Source organism: Homo sapiens, chromosome 9 (genome assembly GCF_000001405.40).
Source record: "Homo sapiens chromosome 9, GRCh38.p14 Primary Assembly".
Taxonomy (NCBI): Eukaryota; Metazoa; Chordata; class Mammalia; order Primates; family Hominidae; genus Homo; species Homo sapiens.
In genome coordinates this window covers 65,779,173-65,802,987 of record NC_000009.12, presented here as the reverse complement: position 1 = coordinate 65,802,987, position 23,815 = coordinate 65,779,173, and the positions used below count along the sequence as shown (strand labels likewise).

The 23,815-nt window shown below is 37.5% G+C and overlaps 1 long non-coding RNA gene across 1 annotated transcript; it reads right to left on the bottom strand.

Moving 5' to 3' along the window:
* Window positions 1–960: 960 nt before the first annotated feature.
* Window positions 961–11,867, bottom strand: LOC101928381 (uncharacterized). The gene is made up of 5 exons (NR_121570.1): window positions 11,786–11,867; window positions 4,517–4,667; window positions 3,861–4,264; window positions 1,941–2,077; window positions 961–1,449 (listed from the first exon to the last, which is right to left on the bottom strand). It is a non-coding gene; the product is annotated as an uncharacterized LOC101928381 (long non-coding RNA).
* Window positions 11,868–23,815: the final 11,948 nt, after the last annotated feature.

Sequence of the window (23,815 nt, the reverse complement as noted above, 5' to 3'; positions counted from 1 at the left end):
CCCATGTCATGAATTACGGCTTGCAAGTGCTTATTCTTAAAGGGCTGCATTATTTTTCATTATTTGGATTTATTGTTATTTAATTGGAGCTCTATTATTGAACATTTAGATTGCTTCCAAAATTTTTTGCTCTTGTTAATATATTGTAATAAACTTCTGTGAAACACATACTCTTCACCTGCTACTTACATATGACTTCTGTAAGCAGAGACCTCTGTATCCCCAGGACCTAGAAGGTTACCCAGACATAGTAGTTGCTTAATTAAAAAAAATTATTGATTGAATGAAAGAAGACTATTAAATGTTCAGTTCTTCTTTTTTTATTCTGATTCCCTGTGTATCCAGGGGCCTCTTATTTGGCTGCATATATGAGTTTGGCTGTAATGAAAGTATTGGCCGTATATGACCATAAACAGGCATTCCTATTTCTGTCACAGTTATATTTGTCATTCTGTATTAATACATCTATATCCTGATTTCTATTGAAGCATGGTTAATTTTGTTTGCTTCTAAGCAATGTAGCTACCCTGTTGATGCTGATAAAAATAAATTTCTGAACCTATAAGACTGAGGATTGGGCCTAGGTTGTAGTAAATTGGCAAGATAATGGATGCTACCCTGTCAAGAGTCCTCTGAAGAGAAAAGTCTGCCACCCTTCACCAGGTAGAAACTCCAGGCAGTGCCACATTTTCCAGTTTGACGCCCTGTGATACCCTGAAAAGACAGATGTTTGACTCTTTTCAAATAATATTTTAACATATTTTAAGACGCAAAGGCATTGTGTCGGACTTTTTTCTTAAGAATATATTTCATTACCACTCAGAAGTTAGCTTCCAAAAGAAATAAGTGTGTGCAAAGGTTTATGATAGTGGTGTAGAGAAGTTTTTAAAATAAATGTGCATCTTTTATGGTAATAAAAGTACATTACGAAGAATTTTTTAGGTCCAGTTCACAGATTCCTTGTGCCTGGGGAAAACTTTATTAGAAAATTAGATAATTTCTAATTTGATTAGGGGAAGTCTAATGGGAAAACTTTTTAACTGAGTGGTCCAATTTGAAACATGAATATCTGTGCTGGAAGCTTCTATTGAACTTTACTTAAGTCACATCTGAGCCCCTCTGCCTGTCAGTCCACCATTACCCTAACAGTGGTAGAAATTCTTTATATGACACCTAGATCTTTTTTTGTTGCACTTTTAAGCTGTGTAGGAAACACACTGCCCACATGTTCATACAACACAGAGTGATTATCCACTTAGTTCCTAAAAAGTTGTGTTTGGTTATGGGATTTGATCCCACTTGTCCAGGGTTTAGGTCAGCTACTGAAGATTAGGATATCTGGGTACCTCTTACTGGAGAATCCATTCCTGTTTTCATTTCATTCCTGGGGGCAATATTCAATCTGGTGTGGCCCTCTGTATTATAAAATGTTTCCCAGATTGTGTTTATCTGAAATACAAATCCAAGAAGAAGCATGGTGTTAATTGCCATGTAAAAAAGATTCCAGAGTCAAGAGCTTGAGAAGTTCTATTCCTTCCTTCATAGGTTCAGTTGTTTAACTCAGCATTTTTCAAACATATTTTACTCCTAGAACCTGTTTTTCCTCAGACATATTTAAGAAAAAAGCGTTTTGTAGAACACATTTGGACAAATGATACTTTATATCATTGCTTTGTTTTTTAAATTTTAGTTTGACTCAATTTTACAGTTTCAGGATTTTGTTTCTGTTTCAGGTTTTAAGCTTTTCTTTTATAAATAGTTACTTTCCTAGTCTGAAATCTATACATTGTTTCAGTAATGAATTCATTATGTAAATTTGCCCATCATTCATCTAAAGGGAATAAACATTAAATTGTTTTTTTAAATTTTGACTTGTGTCACATATGAGAATATAAAGTATATCTGTACAATAAAGCAAAATGAAACATCAAAGTATCTACCTCAGGTTAAGAAGCAGAACTTGGCTGGGCATGGTGGCTCACACCTGTAGTCCCAGCACTTTGGGAGGCAGAAGTGGGAAGATCACTTGAAGCCAGGAGTTGGAGACCAGCTTGTTCAATAAAGGAAGACCTCATCTCTAACAACAACCACAACAGCAAAAAATTAGCCAGGCACGGTGACACATGCTTATAGTCCCAGCTACTGGTGCAGCCTCGAACTCCTGGTCTCAAGCCATCTTCCCACCTCAGCCTCATGTTGTAGTGAACTTTGTTATGCAGTGTCTCCTATTCTACTTGTGCAGGAGTATTTTTCCAGTATGTACCTGGAGTGGAATTGCTTGGTCATTGGGCATGTGTGTGTTCAGCTCTATTGAGTGGCATCATACTGTTCTCCAAGGCAGTTGTACCAATCTACACCCTCACCAGCAGTGAATAGTCTTCCCATTGTTCTTCCTCAATGAAACTAGATATTCACAGCCTTTTAGGTTTTTCCTAGAGTATGAAGTGGTATCTCTTTGGGGTTTTAATATTTATTTCCCTGATTAGAATTGTAGTTGAGTATCTTTTATTATGTTTATGGGCCATTTATGTTTTCTCTTCTGTGAAATTCCTATTCGGGTTTTTTGCTCATTTTAAATGTTGTTGTTTGTGTTTTTCTTATATAGGAATTCTTCACGCATTCAAGATGCACGTATGTTGTTCAGCATAGTACCTGAGACATAGAAACAACTTTGTAAGAATAGCTATCATTACATTACCATTGTATTTAATCCTTTGTTTTTATGTGTTACAATTATCTTCTGCTAATTTGTGGCTTATTTTTCATTTTGTAATGCTCATTTTTTAACCTAGTATTCTATTATTTTAAAAATACACAATCTTGAGTAGTCTACATGTTCATAACCATGACATATTCATGTTGCATTTGTTCTGTGTCATAACCCAGAACTTTCTTTTTTTTTTTTTTTTTTGAGATGGAGTTTTGCTTTTGTCACCCAGGCTGCAGTGCAATGGCGTGATCTTGGCTCACTGCAACCTCTGCCTCCTGGGTTCAAGAGATTCTCCTGCCTCAGCCTCCCGAGTAGCTGGGATTACAGGCACCTGCCACCATGCCCAGCTAATTTTTGTATTTTTAGTAATGGTGTTGTTTCGCCGTGTTGGCCAGGCTGGTCTCGAAATCCTGACCTCAGGTTATCTGCCCACCTTGGCCTCCCAAAGTGTTGAGATTACAGGCATGAGTAGCTGCACCCGGCCAACTTTCAATCTTAAGTACCATTTTTTGCTGCTGTTTCTTTTTTTGAACCCCAGGAAAAAATTAACTCATTTAATCCCCTATTCAAACTGCTACAATTTTATTTTCAGTGTTGTCGCCTGGTTGTAGATGCATTTGTCTCTCCAAATGCACTGTGATTATTTCGAAGACAAAACATTTTTGGCATTGTGATATATATATATATATATATATATATATATATATATATATATATATATGTATGTATATATGTATGTATATATGTATATAATATATATTGTATAAATATGTTTTATATATCATATAAAATTTATATATAAAAATTATATATATATATATATATATATATATATATATATAAAAATGCCACTTATCCCTAATATAGGGACTCGATTAGTTTCTGCTAGTGTGGAGACAAGTCATATCATGGCTAGGGGCCATGATGGTAGGAGCAGTCAGAGGATTTCTTGCATTGTGATGAGTGCCTATAAGTTAAATGAGCCACTTATCAGTAGATTTGATAGCAGGATAATAGTTATATCACTGATACCTAGGCAGTACATGACACTCGGTAAAGAATAGATTAATCCTCGTGCTCTTCATCTTCCTCCTAATCTCTTTACCTGTGCTGCCCTCCAGCTTTCAAAGTGCTCTGAGTCATCACTTACACAGTGTTCCTTAGCTGCCCCTTCAGTGAGCCAGTGTTTCTGTGCCCCAGTGTTCCTGAGAGTTAGAACACAGAAAACAGAGCAGGCTCTTGCCCACATCACAGAACATCTTTGTCTCCCTGTGGATCCCGCACATTTGTTCATTAGAGCTCAGGAATTGCCAGAGACTGGCTTTTGTGGCAATGGACACTAGATTCTTCAGAAGAATATTGGTTGAAATCTTCCTGCTGTGACAATTCCCTGCATGCAGGGCAGGAGTGTGTGCTTCTTCCCAGCAAAGGCAGAGGCAGGGCCTACAGAAACTGTGCCCGCAGCCTATAGTGATGGGGTCTATGAGGTAATTCAGGCAGATGAGGCAGGTGAGTTCTTTCTGGAAGGCTTGTGGGAAGTCTAAGTCCATTTTTCTGAGGGAAGAAAACCAGAAGAATTTATTCTTATGCCACAGAGAGGCAAAGATCTACACAAAGTTTGAATCAGGTTTTGAGTAGGATTCGCTCACAGGTTTAAATCTATAGCAGGATACGATTTTATTTTGCACATAACAAAAATGAAAAACTGAGGCATAGAATTCAAGCTTTGCAGAAAAATGTGTTGGCTCCCTAACCAACACACACACACACACACACACACACACACACACACACACACACACCTACTTTCCAAATTCTTTCCTCCTGTATGAAAAAAACTTAAGGCTGGGCACAGTGGCTCATGCTTGTAATCCAGCACTTTGGGAGGCTGAGGCAGCAGGATTGCTTGATCCAAGGAGTCCAAGACCAGCCTGGGCAACATGATGAGACCCTGTCTCTACAAAAAGAAAAGGAGAAAAAAATTAGCTGAGCATGCCAATAGTCCCAGCTACTAGGGAGGCTGAGGTGAGAGGATTGCTTGAGCCTAGGAGGTCAAGGCGGCAGTGAGCCATAATCCAGCCACTACACTCTAGCCTGAATGACAGAGCAAGACTCTGTCTCAGAAATGAACAAAGAAAGAAAAAGAGAGAGAGAGAGGGAGGGAAGGAGGAAGGAAGGAAGGAAGAAAAGGAAGGAAGGAAGTTTACAGAGTTTTTTGAGGTGTTAGTGTTCCCTAAATTGTATGGTCTTCAGAGGTTTACCCTCCTATAGCTTCAAGGGGTGAGTCCTGACTGGTAGGAAAATCAATCACACTCTTACTTGCCAGTGATTCATTTAGGGAAGACAGCTAACTAAGCTCTTCCACTTTGATTATTTCATTTAATTGTAACAACCATCTTATTATGACTTCTTCAAAATTACCCTGCCAGTAAGTGTTGGAGGACTCCCCAGAAGCAGAAACCACCATGCTTCCTGTATAGCCTACGGAACCATGAGCCAACTAAAGGTGTTTCTCAGGTATTTCTTTATATCTTTGGCCAAAATTAAAGAGTTAGGCTTTACTCTCCAAGATACTGCAATGGACAAAAACAAGCCACCACTGTTTTCTAATGTTGTTGTCTTGTTAATTCAATCAACAAGTATTTTCTGGTAAGTTTAGTGTTCCAGAGACTGGTAACCTGGTGATGCACCAGTTAATAAAACATCCTTAAGAGAAATAAAAGTTGAAAAATGAACCAGATGATAAAATGCAGTAGTGTACACAATGCCACTTATCCACAGGTCTTCTGTGTGTCACCCATGATCCAGAAAATGTCTTTAGTATAAGCCATTGATAAAGATGCCTGAAAAATTTACGTATAGAAGACATAGTCACAAAATTATTTTTTTCCTTTGATATCCCTTGTTACTTCAAACAGAATTTACCACTCCAATTCGATTTCTGAATACATGGGAGTTAATAGAATACTTCTAATCCATTTATAGGATCTACACTAAGTAAAAAAATTAAAGACATCTGAAAACTATTTTGTGAGTCCTTATAATCCATATCAACAATCATGGAATATATTAAGTAATAGACCAAAAATTAATCATCATATTAACCAAAAACACATAGCAAGACAAGATAACTAAATATTTTCATTTGGAAATTGGGAAATTTAGTCAATTTTAAAACTCAGCAAATGAGATCATTTCACAGAAGCAACCTAGGTTTGCTGGTAAATTAAAATTATGACGTTTTGGTTTGGGAGGGTAGTTCCTCTTCTGTAAATTGTGTACTCACATAAGAAATATATCTATGTTCTCACGGACACTTGCTGTAGAGGTAATAATATGAAGTTAGCTCAGGGATCAGGGCCTCACAGTGCAGTGCTGGTAGTTTTTTTTGTTTTTTTTTTGTTTTTTTTTTTTTTGCCCTGCACCTTGAGTAAAAGTTTCCTGAGGCCTCCCCGGAAGCAGAAACCACCATGCTTCCTGTATAGCCTATGGAACTGTGAGCCAACTAAAGGTATTTCTCATGTATTTCTTTATAGGAATGCAAGAGCGTACTAATACAGCTAAGCAGAGGCCATCAGGACCAGCAAAAGTCTGAGCTGGATGAGAGACAAAGCTAAACTTTGAGCAGCAGCAGGAGCTGCCAGGGATTACAGAAAGGAAGGACTGACTCCTAAATTCCAGGATGTCTCCTTTAAGTCTGTAAGAAGCTCAGCCACTGTCTCCTTACCTGACTCCTCTGGGAAAGAGTTTCCCTAGGTTAAACCATACAGGGATAGGGTAGGAGATGCCATTTGGATCTAGGAGCAGAGGGCAGAGACTCAGCAGGAAGAGTGTCTCTTTGAGAAGGATACACAGTGGAGCAGGTGTGTAGGTTCACAGGGCCAGCTATGGGTAGAGTCGGGTGTACATTTTTAGAAGCCACAATTCCCAAAAATCTCCTGACTATAAGATCAGTGCACAGAGCCAGTCAAATGGAGGAGGAGTGGGTCCAGGCAATTCAGGAAGAAGGAAAGTAACAAATGAGTGGTTGCAGGAGGACACTTTTTCTGTCGAGGTCACTAAACAAAACATTGTCTCCTCCCCTTAACTTCGGAAACAATGGAGGGTAAAAGTGTTGCCTGGGCCCTGGGGGCAAAGGCAGTAGATAACTTCTCTGTCGTGTTCTCCAGAAGGGCCCATTCCAGCCTCACAGGCCGAGAAGTCTGTTCGGTTCCCAAGTACTAGAGATGCTGCTATAAGGGACTCCTGAATTTCCTTCCTGAACCAGAGGCTGCCCAGCCTTTTCTTCCTGTTTTATTTTTTCCCAGGAAGAAACTTGCCTGTACAATTACAAGGTTCTACGGTTCTAAATTCCAATCTAGTCTTCCACATCATTTTGAAGGTATAATATTACTTGTCAAAGTGGGATGATAGAAGATATGTGTGGACATAAATTGTTGACAAGGAAAAAAACTAAAATCAGAAAATAAGAAAAAATATATGTATGTACAGTGGTTAGCTAGAAATGTGCCTTTTAAATATTTGGCATGTGGTATGTGGGCCTCAATGTGTACTATTGCACTAGCTTCCCAAATATTAAAGGATGTCTTTTAAAAGAAAAACCTCTTGCTAAAAGGTTAACAGTTAAAATAACCAGAGTGGCACAGGTACCAGTCATTAAGTGAAACCTTTCATCTTCCCAGAATAGTACCTGTTCCCAAGCCAGCTTCTTTGAAAATCACTTTTCTCTCCTTTACTATTTAGTTTACAGATTGTATAGTAACAATACAGAAACCACAATAGTAGCAAAAAAAATAAAGAATATTTTTAAATGAAAACTCACATCCTAACTCTACCAAAACATGAAAATTAAACCTGAATGCCTCCCATTCCTGATATATTTTCACCTAAATATTCAGCTCTGGGATTGCATTGTTTTTGGATTGAGTGGAAATTATTGCCTGGTCTTGAAATCTTCCATAATGTGTGTGTGTGTGTGTGTGTGTGTGTGTGTGCGCGCGCGTGCGTGTGTGCATGTGTGTGTGTGTATATGTATGTATGTGTGGTGAATATATTTCTTTTTGTTCGGAGCAAAGATTTTTTCAATATGTATATTTATTTTAGGCAGATTATGCTAGTAATTTTCTACAAATGTGCTTTTTAAAAAATAACCTTTAATTTAAAAAAAATTATTCTTACTCAGTGGCCCACAATTGTTAAAAACGCTACTAATGGAGCTGGGTATGGTGACACACACCTGTCATCCCAGCTACTTGGGAGACTGAGGCAGGGGTATTGCTTAAACTTGGGAATGTGAAACCAGCCTGGGCAACATAGTGAGATCCCAATCTCAAAAATCAATCATTAAAAAATAAAATAAAACACTACTAATAGCTTTTTAAAAAATAGTTCTTAACCAATTTTCCTAGCACCTTCCTTTCCTCAGTGAAGTATAGAAATATGTGGTCAGTCACTGTGGCTCACACCTATAATCCCAATAATTTGGGAAGCCAAGGCATGAGGATCAGTTGATTCCAGGAGTTCAAGACTAGCCAGGGTGACATAATGAGACTTGGTCTCTAACGAAATTTTTTTTTCTTTAATTACCAGGGCATGAGGGTGCATGCCTGTAGCCCAGCTACTTGGAAGGCTGAGGTAGGAGAATCACTTGAGCCCAGGAGGTGAAGGCTGCAGTGAGCCATGGTTGCACCACTGCACTCCATACCTGGGTGACAGAGTGAGACACAGTAACAAAAACAAACAACAACAAAAAGTATTTGTTTTAGAAAAAACATTTGGTGAGATTTGGGCTTAAAAATATATTATTCTAAAATATTCATAAATATTCTCTAGTAATGATAAGATTAAAGTGACAAAGACAAACTTTTTTCCTGTGCAGTTCCATCTCTCACCTTCCTGTAATTTGTCTGTCCCATCCAGCTTCCAAAGGAAATTATTTACAAAATAATGTCTGCATCCTGGGTCTATATATCTATTGCCTATGAGGAGAGCGTTTAAGATCTGAGCCGTCTTCAAGTCTTATACTTTGTGTATAGCTCTCATGTTTTTGCAGGTTATGTAAGTTTGTATACCCTTTCTTTTATTAATCTGTGTATGGTCAGTTCATTTCCGGTAATCTTCAGAGGGTGAAAGGGGAAGCTTTTCACTTCACTCCTACTGTGACAACTAACTACCTTCTTACTTATTCAATTTTTTAGTCTATATCAACATTTTTATATGCATTTACTTTTAAACAAAATTTTGCATCATTACACTTAAAATTTTATTTAACTTTTAAAAAGGAAATTAAAAATAAAATTAAAAATTATAAAATTTTACATAATAAAAATAAAATAAATGATTTATATAAAAATTAATCTGACCTGTGAAAAACACTGTCCAGAGGCCAGGTGCGGTGGCTAACGCTTGTAATCCCAGCACTTTGGGAGGCCGAGGTGGGTGGATCACGAGGTCAGGCGATCTAGACCACGATGAAACCCCTCTCTACCAAAAATACAAAAAATTAGCGGGGCGTAGTGGCGGGCGCCTGTAGTCCCAGCCACTCGTAGAGGCTGAGGCAGGAGAATGGCGTGAACCCGGGAGGCGGAGCTTGCAGTGAGCCGAGATCGTGCCACCGAAATCCAGCCTGGGTGACAGAGCCAGACTCTGTCAAAAAAAAAAAAAAAAGAAAAAAGAAAAACACTATCGAGAGAATAAAAAGACAAATCACAGACTGGGAGTAAAAATTTACAAAAGCTATATCTGGTGAAGATACATTTGTTATCCAAAATATGCAAAGAACTCTCAGGACTCAATAATAGGAAAACAAATAGTCTAACACAAATGTAGAGATCTGAACAGACATTTCACCATAGAATACAGATGGACGATACATAAGCACATCATTCATCATTAGGGAAATGTAAATTAAAACCACAATGAGATACTGTTACTTGCCTATTAGAATAGCTAAAATTTAAAAGACTGACCATACTAAACATTGGTGAGAACACAAAGGAACAGGAATGCTCATATACTGCTGCTGGAAATACAGCCACTTTGTCAGTTTCTTTAAAAGTTAAACTGGCTGGGAGCGGTGGCTCACGCCTGTAATCCCAGCACTTTGGGAGGCCAAGGCGGGCGGATCACGAGGTCAGGAAATCGAGACCATCCTAGCTAACACGGCGAAACCCCATATCTACTAAACATACAAAAAATTAGCCGGGCGTGGTGGCGAGCACCTGTAATCCCAGCTACTCCAGAAGCTGAGGCAGGAGAATGGCGTGAACCCGGGAGGTGGAGCTTGCAGTGAGCCGCGATGCACCACTGCACTCCAGCCTGGGCGACAGAGCGAGACTCCGTCTCAAAAAAAAAAAAAAAAAAAAAAAAAAGTTAAACATATCACACCACCTAGTCATTCAAATCCTGCTTATTTGCCCAAGACAAATGAAAGTGTATGTCCAAACGATTGGACAAACATTCGTAGCAACTTTATTTGAAATAGCAAAAACAACTGGAAGCAAACCAAATGTCCATCAAGAGGTGAATAGATACACTAACTGTAGAATATCCACACAATAAAACTATTTTTTTAAAAACTACGGGGCAAAAAACAAAAAACCAAAGATAGAATCTAATTTCTTGGTAAATACATTCACTATTAGGGTTTTTATAACAGAGAAGTCATTCTTTATTAACACTCTTTTGACTATGAAAATATTTTGACATCAAAAATCTGCAAAATATGAAGAAACAAAGGACACACAGCTTTTTCTATTTTTTATTTTTATTTTATTTTTATTTTTTTGAGAAGGAGTCTCTTTCTGTCACCCAGGCTGGAGTGCAGTGGCGCGATCTTAGTTCACTGCAAGCTGCGCCTCCCGGTTCACGCCATTCTCCTGCCTCAGTCTCCCGAATAGCTGGGACTACAGGCGCCCGCTACCAAGCCCGGCTAATTTTTTGTATTTTTAGTAGAGACGGGGTTTCACCGTTAGCCAGGATGGTCTCAATGTCCTGACCTCGTGATCTGCCCGCCTCGGCCTCTCAAAGTGCTGGGATTACAGGCGTGAGCCACCACCCCCGGCCCCAGGACACACAGCTTTAAAATTTCTCCTTGGTCTCACCCAGTGCCAACCACCTAAAACCTCTCATTTTCCCCCAGACATTTCTTCTGCCTCCAGGATGGAGGTAGAGAATCTTGGCCTTGGACCACGCACTGGGGACCATGCTGGGCTGCCGTGGACAGTGACGGACTCAGGTTCTCACCAGGATCCCCAAAATAGGCCCCTGAAAAAAATGTTACCATCAGGGTGCGCTCCCTGATTCTTGTGTCTGCTGGAAGGAGGAAATCAAGCCAGGAACATTGTCAGGATAGAGATGAAAATGGGGCTCACTTTTCTGTCTTTTGTGATGTCAGACAAGCCTTTCAGCTCTGTCTCTTCAGCCCTCATGGAATTGTTTGGTGTGGACGCACCGAGATTCTGAACTGGGTCCCCTTTCCCTCTGCCCTTCTCTGGGGCCAGATTCTGAGCTCTCCATTCCAATTTTTCCCCCAATTTTCCCTTGCATTTATTTATCTGGATTACTGTCTGCCTGTCCCAAAGAATAAAAGCTTTATCACAGTGGGGATTTTGTTTAAAAAAATAATAATAACAGCTATATTTTTAGGATCCATGACACTGTCCAGCATATCGGTGGTATCTGATAAAAAATGTTTGTTGACTGGATGAACAAATATATTATTCACAATTCACATTATCCTGAACTGGCTAGAAAATTAAATATCTGATATCAGTATTGGCAATATTATGAAGTAAATATAAGTCTGATACAGTGCTCGTGAAAGTCTAATATGCAATGCTCATTTTAGAAAACATTTTCTTGTAGATTTGAAAATGTTTCATCTCCATGAACTAGTTGTATATCTGCAAGTTGTGTATCTTTGGGTTAGGCAGAATAATTGCCCCCCACCAAAGACAGCCACATCCCAGTCTTCAGATAAGGTGAACATGCTAACGTAAGTTAGCATGTTCAAAGAGACTTGGCAGATGTGATTACCATTAAGGGCATTGAAATGGGGAAATTACCTTGAATTACCTTGGTGAGCCAGTCTAATCTCATAATTCCTTGAGAGCAGAGAATATTTTCTGGATGCTGAGATTCAGACAGATGGCAGTATGAGAAAGATGTGGCCTGCTATTACTGGCTTTTAAAACAGTGGTAGGGGGCCACAAGCCAAGAAAAGCCAGTGACCTTTAGAAGCTGGGAATGACCCAAAGTTTACAACCAGGAAGAAACTGAGGATCTACAACCACAAGGAACTGAATTCTGCCAACAACCCAGATGCTCTTTTAGAGCCTTCAGAAAGAAATGCAGCCTGCCAACATCTTGATGTTAGTTCAGTGAGAGCCATGCCAGATTTCCAACCAAAACAATTCTAAGACAATAAGTCTGTGTGTGTTTTTTAAAACTGACTCAAATCTTACAAAAATGTGTTCTTTTAAGCCACTGAATTTGTGGTAAATTGTTACAGCAGGAATAGAAAACTGATACAACCCTAGAGAAAGTCTTGTACATGTGCCCTATAAACACACAGCAGAATTTTTTTAACTTTTTATTGAGTTAAAATATATATATATATAATTTACCATCTGTACATTTTTAGAGGACAGTTTAGTGGTGATAAATACATTTATATTTTCTTCTCTTAATCTCCTCTTCCCACTCCCCTTGCTGGCCTCTAGCAACCACCAATTTACTTTCTATCTTCATGAGATCCACTTTTTTACTGCCCACATATGAGTGACAACATGTGGTATTTGCCTTTCTGTGCTTGGCTCATTCCACTTAACATAATGGCCTATGTTCATTACGTTAAACCAAATGGCCAGTGCCACCTATGTTGCTGTGAATGACAGAATTTCATTCTTCTTTGTTTCTGAGTAGTATTGCATTATGTATATATATGACTTTTAAAATCTATTCATTTGTTGATGAGCACTTACGTTGATTCCATATTTTGTCTATTGTGAATAGTGCTGCAGTACACATCGGCATGTAGATATGTCTTTGATACATTAATTTCCTTTATTTTGGATATACATCCAGTAAAGAAATTGCTGGACCACATGGTAGTTCTATTTTTACTTTTTTGAGGAACCTCCATACTATTCTCCATAGTGGCTTTATTAATGTGGATTCCCACCAACAGTGTACTAGTATTTCCCTTTCTCCACATCCTTGCCAGCATCTGTTATTGCCTGTCTTTTTGAAACAAGTCATTTCAACCAAGGTGAGATGATATTGCATTGTGATTTTGATTTGCATTTCTTTGACGATTAGTGATACTGAATATTTTTTGTCTTCCTATTGGCCATTTGTTTGTCTTCTTTTGAGAAAATATCTGTTCAGATCTTTAGCCCATTTTTAAATTGTATTTATTTATATATTTTTAACTATTTTTTTTGAGAAGTAAGGTCTTGCTTTGTCACCCAAGCTAAAGGGCAGTAGCATAATCATAGCTCACTGTAACCTCAAACTCCTGGGATTAAGAAATCCTCCTGACCGGGCGCGGTGGCTCACGCCTGTATTCCCAGCAATTTGGGAGGCAGAGGTGGGCGGATCACGAGGTCAGGAGATCGAGACCATCCTGGCTAACATGGTGAAACCCCATCTCTACTAAAAATACAAAAAATCAGCCGGGATTGGTGCCGGGCGCCTGTAGTCCCAGCTACTCAGGAGGCTGAGGCAGGAGAATGGCGTGAACCCCGGGGGAGCAGAGCCTGCAGTGAGCCGAGATCACGCCACTGCACTCCAACCTGGGCGACAGCGAGACTCCATCTCATTAAAAAAAAAAAAAAAAAAAAAAAAAAAAAAAAAAAGAAATCCTCCTACCTCAGCCTCTTCAGTAGCCCATTTTTCAATCAGATTTTTTGTTTGTTTATTATTGAGTTGTTTGAGCTCCTTATATATTCTACTTGTTAATCCTTTGTCAGATAGATAGTTTGAAAATATTTTGTCCCATTCTGTGCTTGGCTCTTCACTTTGTTGATTGTTTCCTTTGCTTGAGGCTTTTTAGTTTGATATAATCCCATTGTCTATTTTTGCTTTTGCTGCCTGTGCTTCCGAGGTCTTACGCAAAAAAATCTTTGCCCAGACTAATGTCCTGGAGCATTTCTCCTATGCTTGCTTTCTTTCTTTTTTTTTTTTTCACGCCATTCTCCTGCCTCAGCCTCCCGAGTAGCTGGGACTACAGGCGCCCACCATCATGCCCCGCTAATTTTTTTTTTGTTTTTTGTATTTTTAGTAGAGACGGAGATTCACCGTGTTAGCCAGGGTGGTCTCGATCTCCTGACCTTGTGATCCGCCCGCCTTGGCCACCCAAAGTGCTCAGATTACAGACAAGAGCCACCGCGCCCGGCCTTTCCTATTTTTTTTTTTTTTTACTAGCTTCATAGTTTCAGGTCTCAGATTCAAGTCTTTAATCCATTTTTATTTGATTTGATTTTTGTGTATGGTGAGATGGGATTAATTTTATCCTTCTGCATATGGTTATTCAGTTTTCCCAGGATCATTTATTGAAAAGACTGTTGTTTTCCCAGTGTATGTTCTTGATGCCTTTGTCAGAGATGAATTGTTTGTAAATGTGTAGATTTGTCTGCGATCTCTATTCTGTTCCACTGTCCTATGTGTCTGTTTTTATGCCAGTAGAAATATATTGGCAATAATTAGTACAGAAGAGCTGAAACAATGAAATGACAAAAGTGAATTATACTGATATAATTCATTATGCTCACTAAATGCAATAGCATACAGCTAGGAAAACAAAGTAGTGCACACGGTATTAAAATACAACACAATTCAATATACACAGTGCTCACAGTGGCCATCGTTAGAGTGTTGAAGAAGGGGATGTAGTCAGCAAAAGTTGTACAGGTGACTTCAAAAGTAATCATAAGCACTTATGATTACTTTTGGCTTAATTTCTTAAACCAAGACTGGAGACACAGGTGTTCATTATGTGCTTATTATATATATAAAATAAATATTTTATAAATATATTGTTTCTATTCAGTATTTAATAAAGTAAATCAGTAGAAAAGGTTAAAAAGCAATGCACACATATTTCAAATATTTTTTGCTCCAAATTATATAAACATTGCATAGTTATTGCCCTGGGCCTGGCAAGGTGACTCACACCTCTCATCCTAGCACTTTAGGAGACTGAGGCAGGAGGATAGCTTCAGCCCCAGAGGTCAAGGCTGCAGTGAGCCTTAATTGCACTACTGCACTCCAGCCTAGGTGACAGAGCAAGATGCTGTCTGAAGATAAAAATAAAAATAAGTTAATAAATATATGTTTATATATTAACTGATTTTATTAACTATATATATATATAGTTGTTGTCTTGGTCTATAGGCAATCTTACAGTGCTTAAGACTTTGATACTGAGAACAGATCTCCTAGGTATATGCTATGTTTCTGGGGTGATATGATGCTCTCATCTGGCCTCCGTGAGCCTAATTCTATCTTACATTTACCCCACTCTTCAACAACAACTTGGGGAGGTGTCCCTAAACATTCCTAGGTGAACCCAAACCTGTGGCCCTCAACACATTTCTAGGTAAAGCAAGCTCCTGACATATCTGTGGATATCCTCTCACTGGAAGAAGGGGGAAGAGACCATCTCAAAATAATTCATTTAATATAGCTTTTCAGCATTAATTTTATTTTGATAAAGAGACACACAGTAAATAAAATTTCTAAAAAACTATAAACTTTCAAGCATTCTCACGCTAAATCTAGCCCTGCTTACATGCCAGGGAAATATAAAGGTAATCTGTTTCTCAACCTGACCAGGATGCTACAGTAATTAAAAATAAACTCAATCCCTGGATCCCTACCAAAGGGACATTTCATATGGATCAAAGTTCTGGAAAAATTATTTGTCTGGAAATAGACTAATTCTCCAAAATGTAATTGAAATAACGGCCTCTGGAAAGGGCCAAATACGACTCTTAATGAAACAACAGCTAAATATAGGTCTGATGCTCATTCCGTGTGGACAACAATAGCAGCCATTCCCACAAATGGCTGATTTGTGGGAAGTAAACACTACTTTTGCAGAATCTTACATGATTTCAGTAGAAGGTCAAGGACATTTCAGTTGGGAACAGATTGCTCCATGGTAATACGATCACTATGTACCCAACAATGGCTCTTTCTTCCTAGCCTCAATGCAGATGTTATTTTCACCTTAACTATTATCATTGCTGTTTCTAACCACATAAAAGTGTATCCTTTATATATCTGAAGTAAATTCATACTAGTGGTGTAACATCTCCAGCCATTTAAGTGTAAAAACAGAAAACATATGATGTGTTTACTTACTGTTTTATACTCCTAACGCATGAAGAGAAGATCCTTTTATTCATTGCCTATACTTTTATTTCTAAACTTTCTGTAACACTTTATCTTATATCCAGCATAGAATTGAGATTTGCTTTTTGATTTAATCTGACAATATTTTTTCCTCTAATAAGAGTCAAGCCCACTTACTTTTAATGATAAATTGTGTTTGGTTATATTTTGATTACAGTATATTATGCTATGATTTATATGCACATATCTGTCTTTTGCTGTCTTGTTTTATTGCTTTTGTTTTGATGTTGTGATATTTGGAAGAGTTAAACTTTTATTCTGATGGCTACCTTATGTAATTTCATAAAATCATCTCTTTCTTTAGACAGTAGCTAATGTCTCTAAACTAAGAACAATGGTATTAGCTGTATTCTCTTTCTTGTCCTCCCTATGTGATTTTTCATCCCACAATTTGATTTAATCATATTAACTTTGTTTCCCCTGGTGCCATTAAGTATGCTTACATTTCTATAAACAATATCCTTTGACTCCCAGGCATTACAGATGAGCAGTCAGTAAAATCATTCTGAGGAATACTTTCTCTTTCCTTTTCTTCCATTTTTCTTAGTTGTATCATTTCTATATTGCCAGAGCACCTACAGTTGCATTTCTTTCTGTCAGCTTTATCCAGCATTTGTTCTTGTCTTTTATTTGAAGTTAAATATATTCCTTGCTCACTACAACACTGGGGGAAGGAAGGTTTCTGTTGTCGTCGTGCTTGTACAATTGTTTATTTAAAAACATTGGTGAAAACAAAAACTGTATGTAGATGGAATGGAGATAAGACAGAAAATGAGAGAGACTGATGATGAGTGTGCCTATTCTAGACTGGGAGGCATGCTACACTGAGTAGTGTCTCCAAGGCTGCAGGAAAGGATGGTTGATTGTGAGCAGGTGGACTTTCCACTGGAGGAGAGAAGTCCTGCGCTCAACAACCTGTGCAGAACCAGAAACTGGTAATGCTTCAAATCAACTTACAGACCTGGAGGTAGAAATTTAAGAAAACTCGTTTAGCACATAGTTTCCTAGAAAATATTAGCTACTATTTGCTGAGCATCTGTCAGGTCTGTCTGTAGTATGGAAGATCTGAGTACAGGGGAAACTGGATTAGTAACAGTGGGTCAGAAAATTATATAATATTCAACCAAAATTCCTGCTTTACATACACAGCACCTGGTATTTCCAGAACTAGAAGGTAAAGAAATTATTTGTGCTTGAACTTGCAGAAAACTGCCTTTTCCCTTCTTCTCTTGCATCTTAACCTGGAGCTTCCCTTTTCTTGAGCCTCAGTGTGCTTCCCAACTCAATTTATAATTGACTTCCTGCAGTTTCTCCTTAGGACAGGGCTTTGTTTTGGGGGTGGTTAATTTGTAGGGTTCATAGGAAACAGACCACTCACAGCACTGCTTTTTGCCACCCTCACTCTCAGCTATGAGTTGAGGCCCAGGAAGCCTTCTGCCAGCCTCAGCTGCTGTTCTCAGATTAATCTGCTGAGTTCTTTTTGCCTAGTAAGAATCTCTGAATTTAGGAACACAGATGTTAGCACTTGTATTTCTAGGTTTTCCAGTTCCCAGGGCCATTAAACATTTTTTTCCTTTCCTTTCCTTCTTCCAAAAAAATTGGTGATTCCCCTGGGTCCCTGTGGTTTAACCTCACAAAACGTCCATGATGACACCCTGTTACATTGTTTTGTCGTAGTTAATACCTTGTTATCCCAGTTGCTCAGTCAGTTTTTGTGAGAGATTCAGGGATCTTAATAAAACTGTGCTGCTACTGCTACTAACATCTTGCATAAAAGCCCGATTAATTAAAATGTTTATTTTGCATGTGATTTGAACTTGTAATTTTTATTCAAAGTTTTTCAACAGAGATCCAGAAAAGACCCTCCTTATATTTTTAGTTTTGTGCATTGCAACACTTTTTAGTGAAAAAAAAAAATGAGAACAACACAAGTGATTTTAAAAGAATAAACCTACAATCCATTAATTATAAAATGAAATACTATGCAGGTGTTAAGAATGAGGGAATCAATAAGAACTTGTGTGGGGTAACTATAAACTTTTAAAAAATAAATTTAATGCTCATGTGACCATATTATCGTTAAAAAAAATACAAGCATACTTGCACACACCTTCAAGCAAAATGGGTACACGCATTTAAAAATATTTAAATTAAGTAAATGGCCCAATAATTTAACTTCGTACAATTCTATGTTCTCTGATTATTTTATATGCCAGAAACAGGCATTACTGTTTTGTTTATTTCATTTGAAATAATTGTAGTCACATGAGGTTTAAGTTATAATACAGAGAGGTCACATATGCCTATTTTCTAATTGGTATCTTATTACCATTGAGTTTTGAGAATTTTTTACATATGCTAGATGTAAGTTCTTTGTCAGATATATGGTATGCAAATTATTTCTCCCAGTCTGTAATTCATTTTTTCAACCTCTTTACAGGGTCTTTCTAAGTAAAAAAAAAAAAAAAAAAAAAAAAAAAAGTGTTTATTTATTCTAATGAAGTCCAGTTTTATCACTTTTTCCTTTTGTAGATTTTGTTTTTAATATCAAGCCTAAAAATTCTTTGCCTAGCCCAAGGTCTCAAGAGTTTTCTTCTATTTTAAAAAGTTTAGTGAATTTATTTATTTATTAATTATTTTTGAGACGAGGTTTCGCCCAAGCTGTAGTGCAGTGGTGCCATCATTGCTCACTGCAGCCACTAACTGCTGGATTGAAGTGATGCTTCCACCTCAGCCACTTGAGTAGTAGCTGGGATTACAGGCACGAGCTACCATACACAACTTTAAGTTTTATAATATTACATTTTACATTTAAGCCTGTGATTTATGTGAGCTAAATTTTATATAAAGTATAAATTTAGGTCAGTCTTAGTTTTTGTACCTGTGAATGTCCAATTGCTGTAGCACCATTTGTTGAAAAAGATATCCTTCCTTTAAACTGATTTTGCATCCTTGTTAAAAAAAAATCAGTTGAATATAGTGTGGTCTGTCAGCTTTTAATAAGATAAAAACATTGACACTCACCAGATATCGAAGTTTAGAAATTTTTTTAAAGCTAAACTTCTGAAAATAGAATAAAAACACCTTCACATGTCAAATTAGTCAATTTCTATAGGACTAATTCATTTAAATATATTAAAATACAAAATAATTCAAACTACTAAAGTGATAATACAAGACTATAAATTTAAAGGCTAATTATTAAGTCAAATTGCTGTATTCTACGTGTTAGAGTGAGTTCAAAAGATCCATTGTATTACTGAATAGGCAAAAGTTTTAATTTCAGAGGATGAAACTGATATATTACTGCCACCTTGTGGATATTCTGTTATTACAGGCTATTATAAAAAGCAATGAGGGTATGTAATCTGTTCTAAGAAGAAGCATTTCCTTTTTTTGAGGTTTTTATTATTGTTATTATTACATTTTAAGTTCTGAGATACATGTACAGAACGTGGAGGTTTGTTACATAGGTATACACATGCCATGGTGGTTTACTGCACCCGTCAACCCATCATCTACATTAGGTATTTCTCCTAATGCTATCACTCCCCTAGCCTCCCACCCCCCTGACAAGCCCCGGTATGTGATGTTCCCCTCCCTGTGTCCATGTGTTCTCATTGTTCAACTCAAAAGAAAAACAGAAGCATTTTCTGCTTTCCCAATTTCTTAAATACAATGCAACTTTATGTTTAATTTAACTAACTTAATTTTTTGAGACAAGGTCTAGCTCTGTTGCCCAGGCTGGAGTGGAGTGGTGTGAATATGGTTCAGTGAAACCTCCACCTCCCTGGCTCAAGTGATCCTCCTTCCTCAGCCTCTCGAGTAGCTAGGACCACAGGCACGCACCACCATGGCCAGCTAATTTCTTTTTTATTTTTTGTAGAGATGAGGTCTCACTTTGTTGTCCATGCTGGTCTCAAACTCCTGGGCTCAAAGGATCCTCTTGCCATGGCCTCCCACAGCGCTGGGATTTATAGGTGTGTGCCATGGCACCAGGCCTAAGCAACTGTAGAGAAGCCTTTTTTTCTTTCATAAAAACAGTTGTAGATATTTTCCTTATGGAATTTATTTGTGGTGAAATATTTTAATAGATGGTTTGTTAATAATTTGTCTCAGATAATAATAATTGATTAATATTAAAACTACAAAACAAGTAGGATCTTCTTTTTCTATGAAAAATGAAAGTTGATTCTGACATTTATGTAAACATTTTAAATATTCAAAGTATATAAATGTGAAGTCCTATCAAGAGTAATTAGACAAGAGAAAGAAATAAAGGGCATTCAAATCGGAAAGGAGGACATCAAATTGTTCCTATTTGCAGATGACATGATCTTATATATAGGAAAACCTGAAGACTACCAGAAAACTTTTAGAACAAACAAATTCAGTGAAGTTGCAAGACACAAAACTAATACATGAAGATTGGTTGCATTTTTATATATGAACAACAAACTTGCTGAAAAAGAAATTAAGAAGGCAAACCCATTTACAATAGTTACCAAAAAAAAAAAACCCAGACATAAATGTAACTAAGGAGGTAAAATGAAAACTACAAAACACTAATGAAAGAAATTGAAGAGGATACAAACAAATGAAAAGACATTCATACTCATGGATCAGAAATATGAATGTTGTTAAAGTGACAGTACTACTCAAAAGCAACCTACAGATTCAATGCAATCTCTATCAAAATACCTATGAACATTCTTCACAAAATTAAAAAAAAATCCAAAGAGATTTTATGGAATCAAAAAGTATCCTGAATAGCCAAAGCCATCCTAAGCAAAAAGAACAAAGCTGGATGTATCATGCTACCAGACCTCAGAATACACTACAAAACTGTAGTAACCAAAACATCATGGTATTGGCATAAAAACAGACACATAGACCTATGGAATAGAATAAAGAACCCAGAAAATCCACATATCTCAGCCAACGGATTTTTTACAAAGATGCCAAGAACACTCATTGGGGAAAGGATAGTCTCTTCAATAAATGGTGCTGGAAAAACTGGATATCCATATGCAGAAGAATGAAACTAGACCTCTGCCTCTCACCCTATACAAAGATCAACTCAAAGTATCTCAAATACCCAAATATAAGACCCAAAATGGTAAAGCTACTAGAAGAAAACATAGGGGAGATCCTTCAGGACATTGCTCTGGGAAAATATTTTATGAATAAGGCATCAAAAGCACAGGCAACAAAAGAAAAAATAAACAAATAGGATCACATCAAGCTAAAAATCTTCTGCACAGCAAAGGAAATAAGAAAGTGAGTGAAAAGACAACTTACAGAATGGGAGAAAGTATAAACTCATCTGGCAGGAAATTAATATCAAGAATATACAAGGAATTCAAACATATCAACAGCAAAGAAGCACAACAATCTAATTAAATATAAACAAATGCTCTGAACAGACATTTCTCAAAAGAAGACATACAAATGACCAACAAATATATGAAAAAATGTTCAACACCACTAATCAGCAAGGAAATGCTAATCAAAGCCACAGTGAGGCATCATCTTACTTCAGTTAGGATGGCTATTATAGAAGAGACAAAAATAACAAATGCTGACAAAGACGTGAAGAAAAGGGACTTTTTTTTTTGACAGAATCTCACTCTCCGTCCAGGCTGGAGTGCAGTGGTGGTGTAATCTGGCTCCCTCTGCTTCTAGGGTTCAAATAGTTCTCCTCCCTCAGCCTCCTGAGTAGCTGGAGAAAAAGGAACTCTTATGCACTGTTGGTAGGAATGTAAATTAGAGCAGCCAGTATGGAGAACAGTATTGAAACACCTCAAGCAATCCCACTACTGGGAATTTATCCAAAGGAAAGAAAAGCATTATATTACAGAGACATCTGCATCCCCATGTTTATTGCAACAGTGTTCACAATAGCCAAGATATGGAATCAACCTAGATTTCCAACAACAGATGAATGGATTTTTAAAATACGGTATATATACACCAAGGAATGCTATTTAGCCATAAAAAAGAATAAATAAAACCCTGTCATTCTCAGCAACATGGATGGAACTGGAGGATATTATGTTAAGCAAAATAAGCCAGGAATAGAAATTTCAACACCACATGTTCTCACTCACGCAGAAGCTAAAGAAAAGTTGATCTCATAGAAGTAAAAAGTAGAACAGAGGATACTGCAGGCTGAAAAGGGTAGGGAGAAAGGAGGAATGGTAAGAGATTTGTTAATGGATACAAAATTACAGCTAGGTAGGAGTAATAAGTTCTAGTGTTCTATAGTACTGTAGATGACTATAGTTAACAATACTATATTATGTAGTTTAAAATACCTAGGAGTAGTTTGAATGTTCCCAACACAAAGAAATAATAAATGTTTGAGATGATAGATATGCTAATTACCCTGATCTGATCACCATCTACATGTACTGAAACATCCCCATATAGCCATGAATATGTATAATCTTTGTCAATTTAAAAAGTAAAAAAAAAAATTAATCTTGGAGAATGCATTTGAAGAACTTGTACTCAAGAAATCAACTTAAGAACCTGAGTCTCCTTGGAATTTGTGTTTTCTAGACCAGTACTTCTCCAAATTAAAGCAAATTTAGGCTGGGCATGGTGGCCCATGTCTATAATCTCAGCCTTTGGAAGGCTGAGGCAGACAGATCACTTGAGGTCAGGAGTTCGAGACCAGCTGACCCAACATTGTGAAACCCTGTCTCTACTAAAAATACAAAAATTAGCCGGGCATGATGGCATGTGCCTGTAATCCCAGCTACTTTGGAGGCCGAGGCAAGATAATCGCTTGAACTGGAGAGGTGGAAGTTGCAGTGAGCCGAGATTGCACCACTGCGCTCCAGCCTGGGCAACAGAGCAAGACTCTGTCTCAAAAAAAAAAAAAAAAAAGCGAATTTAGTTCACTTTGGTATTGTGTCAAAATGTTGATTCTTTGAAAGTAAATCTAAAGAATTTAGATGTAGTTGAAGCTTGTCATCTGTTCTTAATTTTTTTAATAAAAATATAATATTTAGATTCAGAGTAAATCTAAAGTGAGACCTGAAGCTGCTCCCAGGTGATACTGATGCTGCTTATTTTTGCCCAGATTTTTAGTCACAAGGTTCTAAATTATCGTTTTGAAGTCCTACATGAGTAATCACTTGGGGAGCTCAATTAACACCCAGCAACAGACTAATTATTAATAAACCAGAATCTTCAGTATTAGGCTTCAATCATTGGCAATTTTTTTTTTTTTTTGACACACAGTCTCCCACTGTCGCCCAGGCTGAAGTCCTGAGGCCAGAATGAGACTAGGACATGGTTCCTTTGCCTAAGTAAACTGAGGCAGAAAATGGAATACTTCAGACTTCAAATTAGTATGGTAAGTGCTATGAAGAGTATGATTAGAGTTCATTATTTACCCAGAAAAGGGTCACTCAGCCCAGCCTGGGAGTTAGAGAAGGTTTCCTGAATTCTTGACATGTGAGTCGTGAAAGGACATAAGGAGTTAACCACGTGACAAAATAAGCTAAGAGAATTCTCAACAAAAGACAAAATATTGACAAAGGCTTTTAGGCATATACTAGCTTAGTATTATTGGGAGAATGTAATGATTTTCTGTATTTCAAAAGTGTAAAATACAAAGTGGGCCATGATATGAGATAAACCAGTAAATATGTTCTGGGAACAGATCATAGAAGG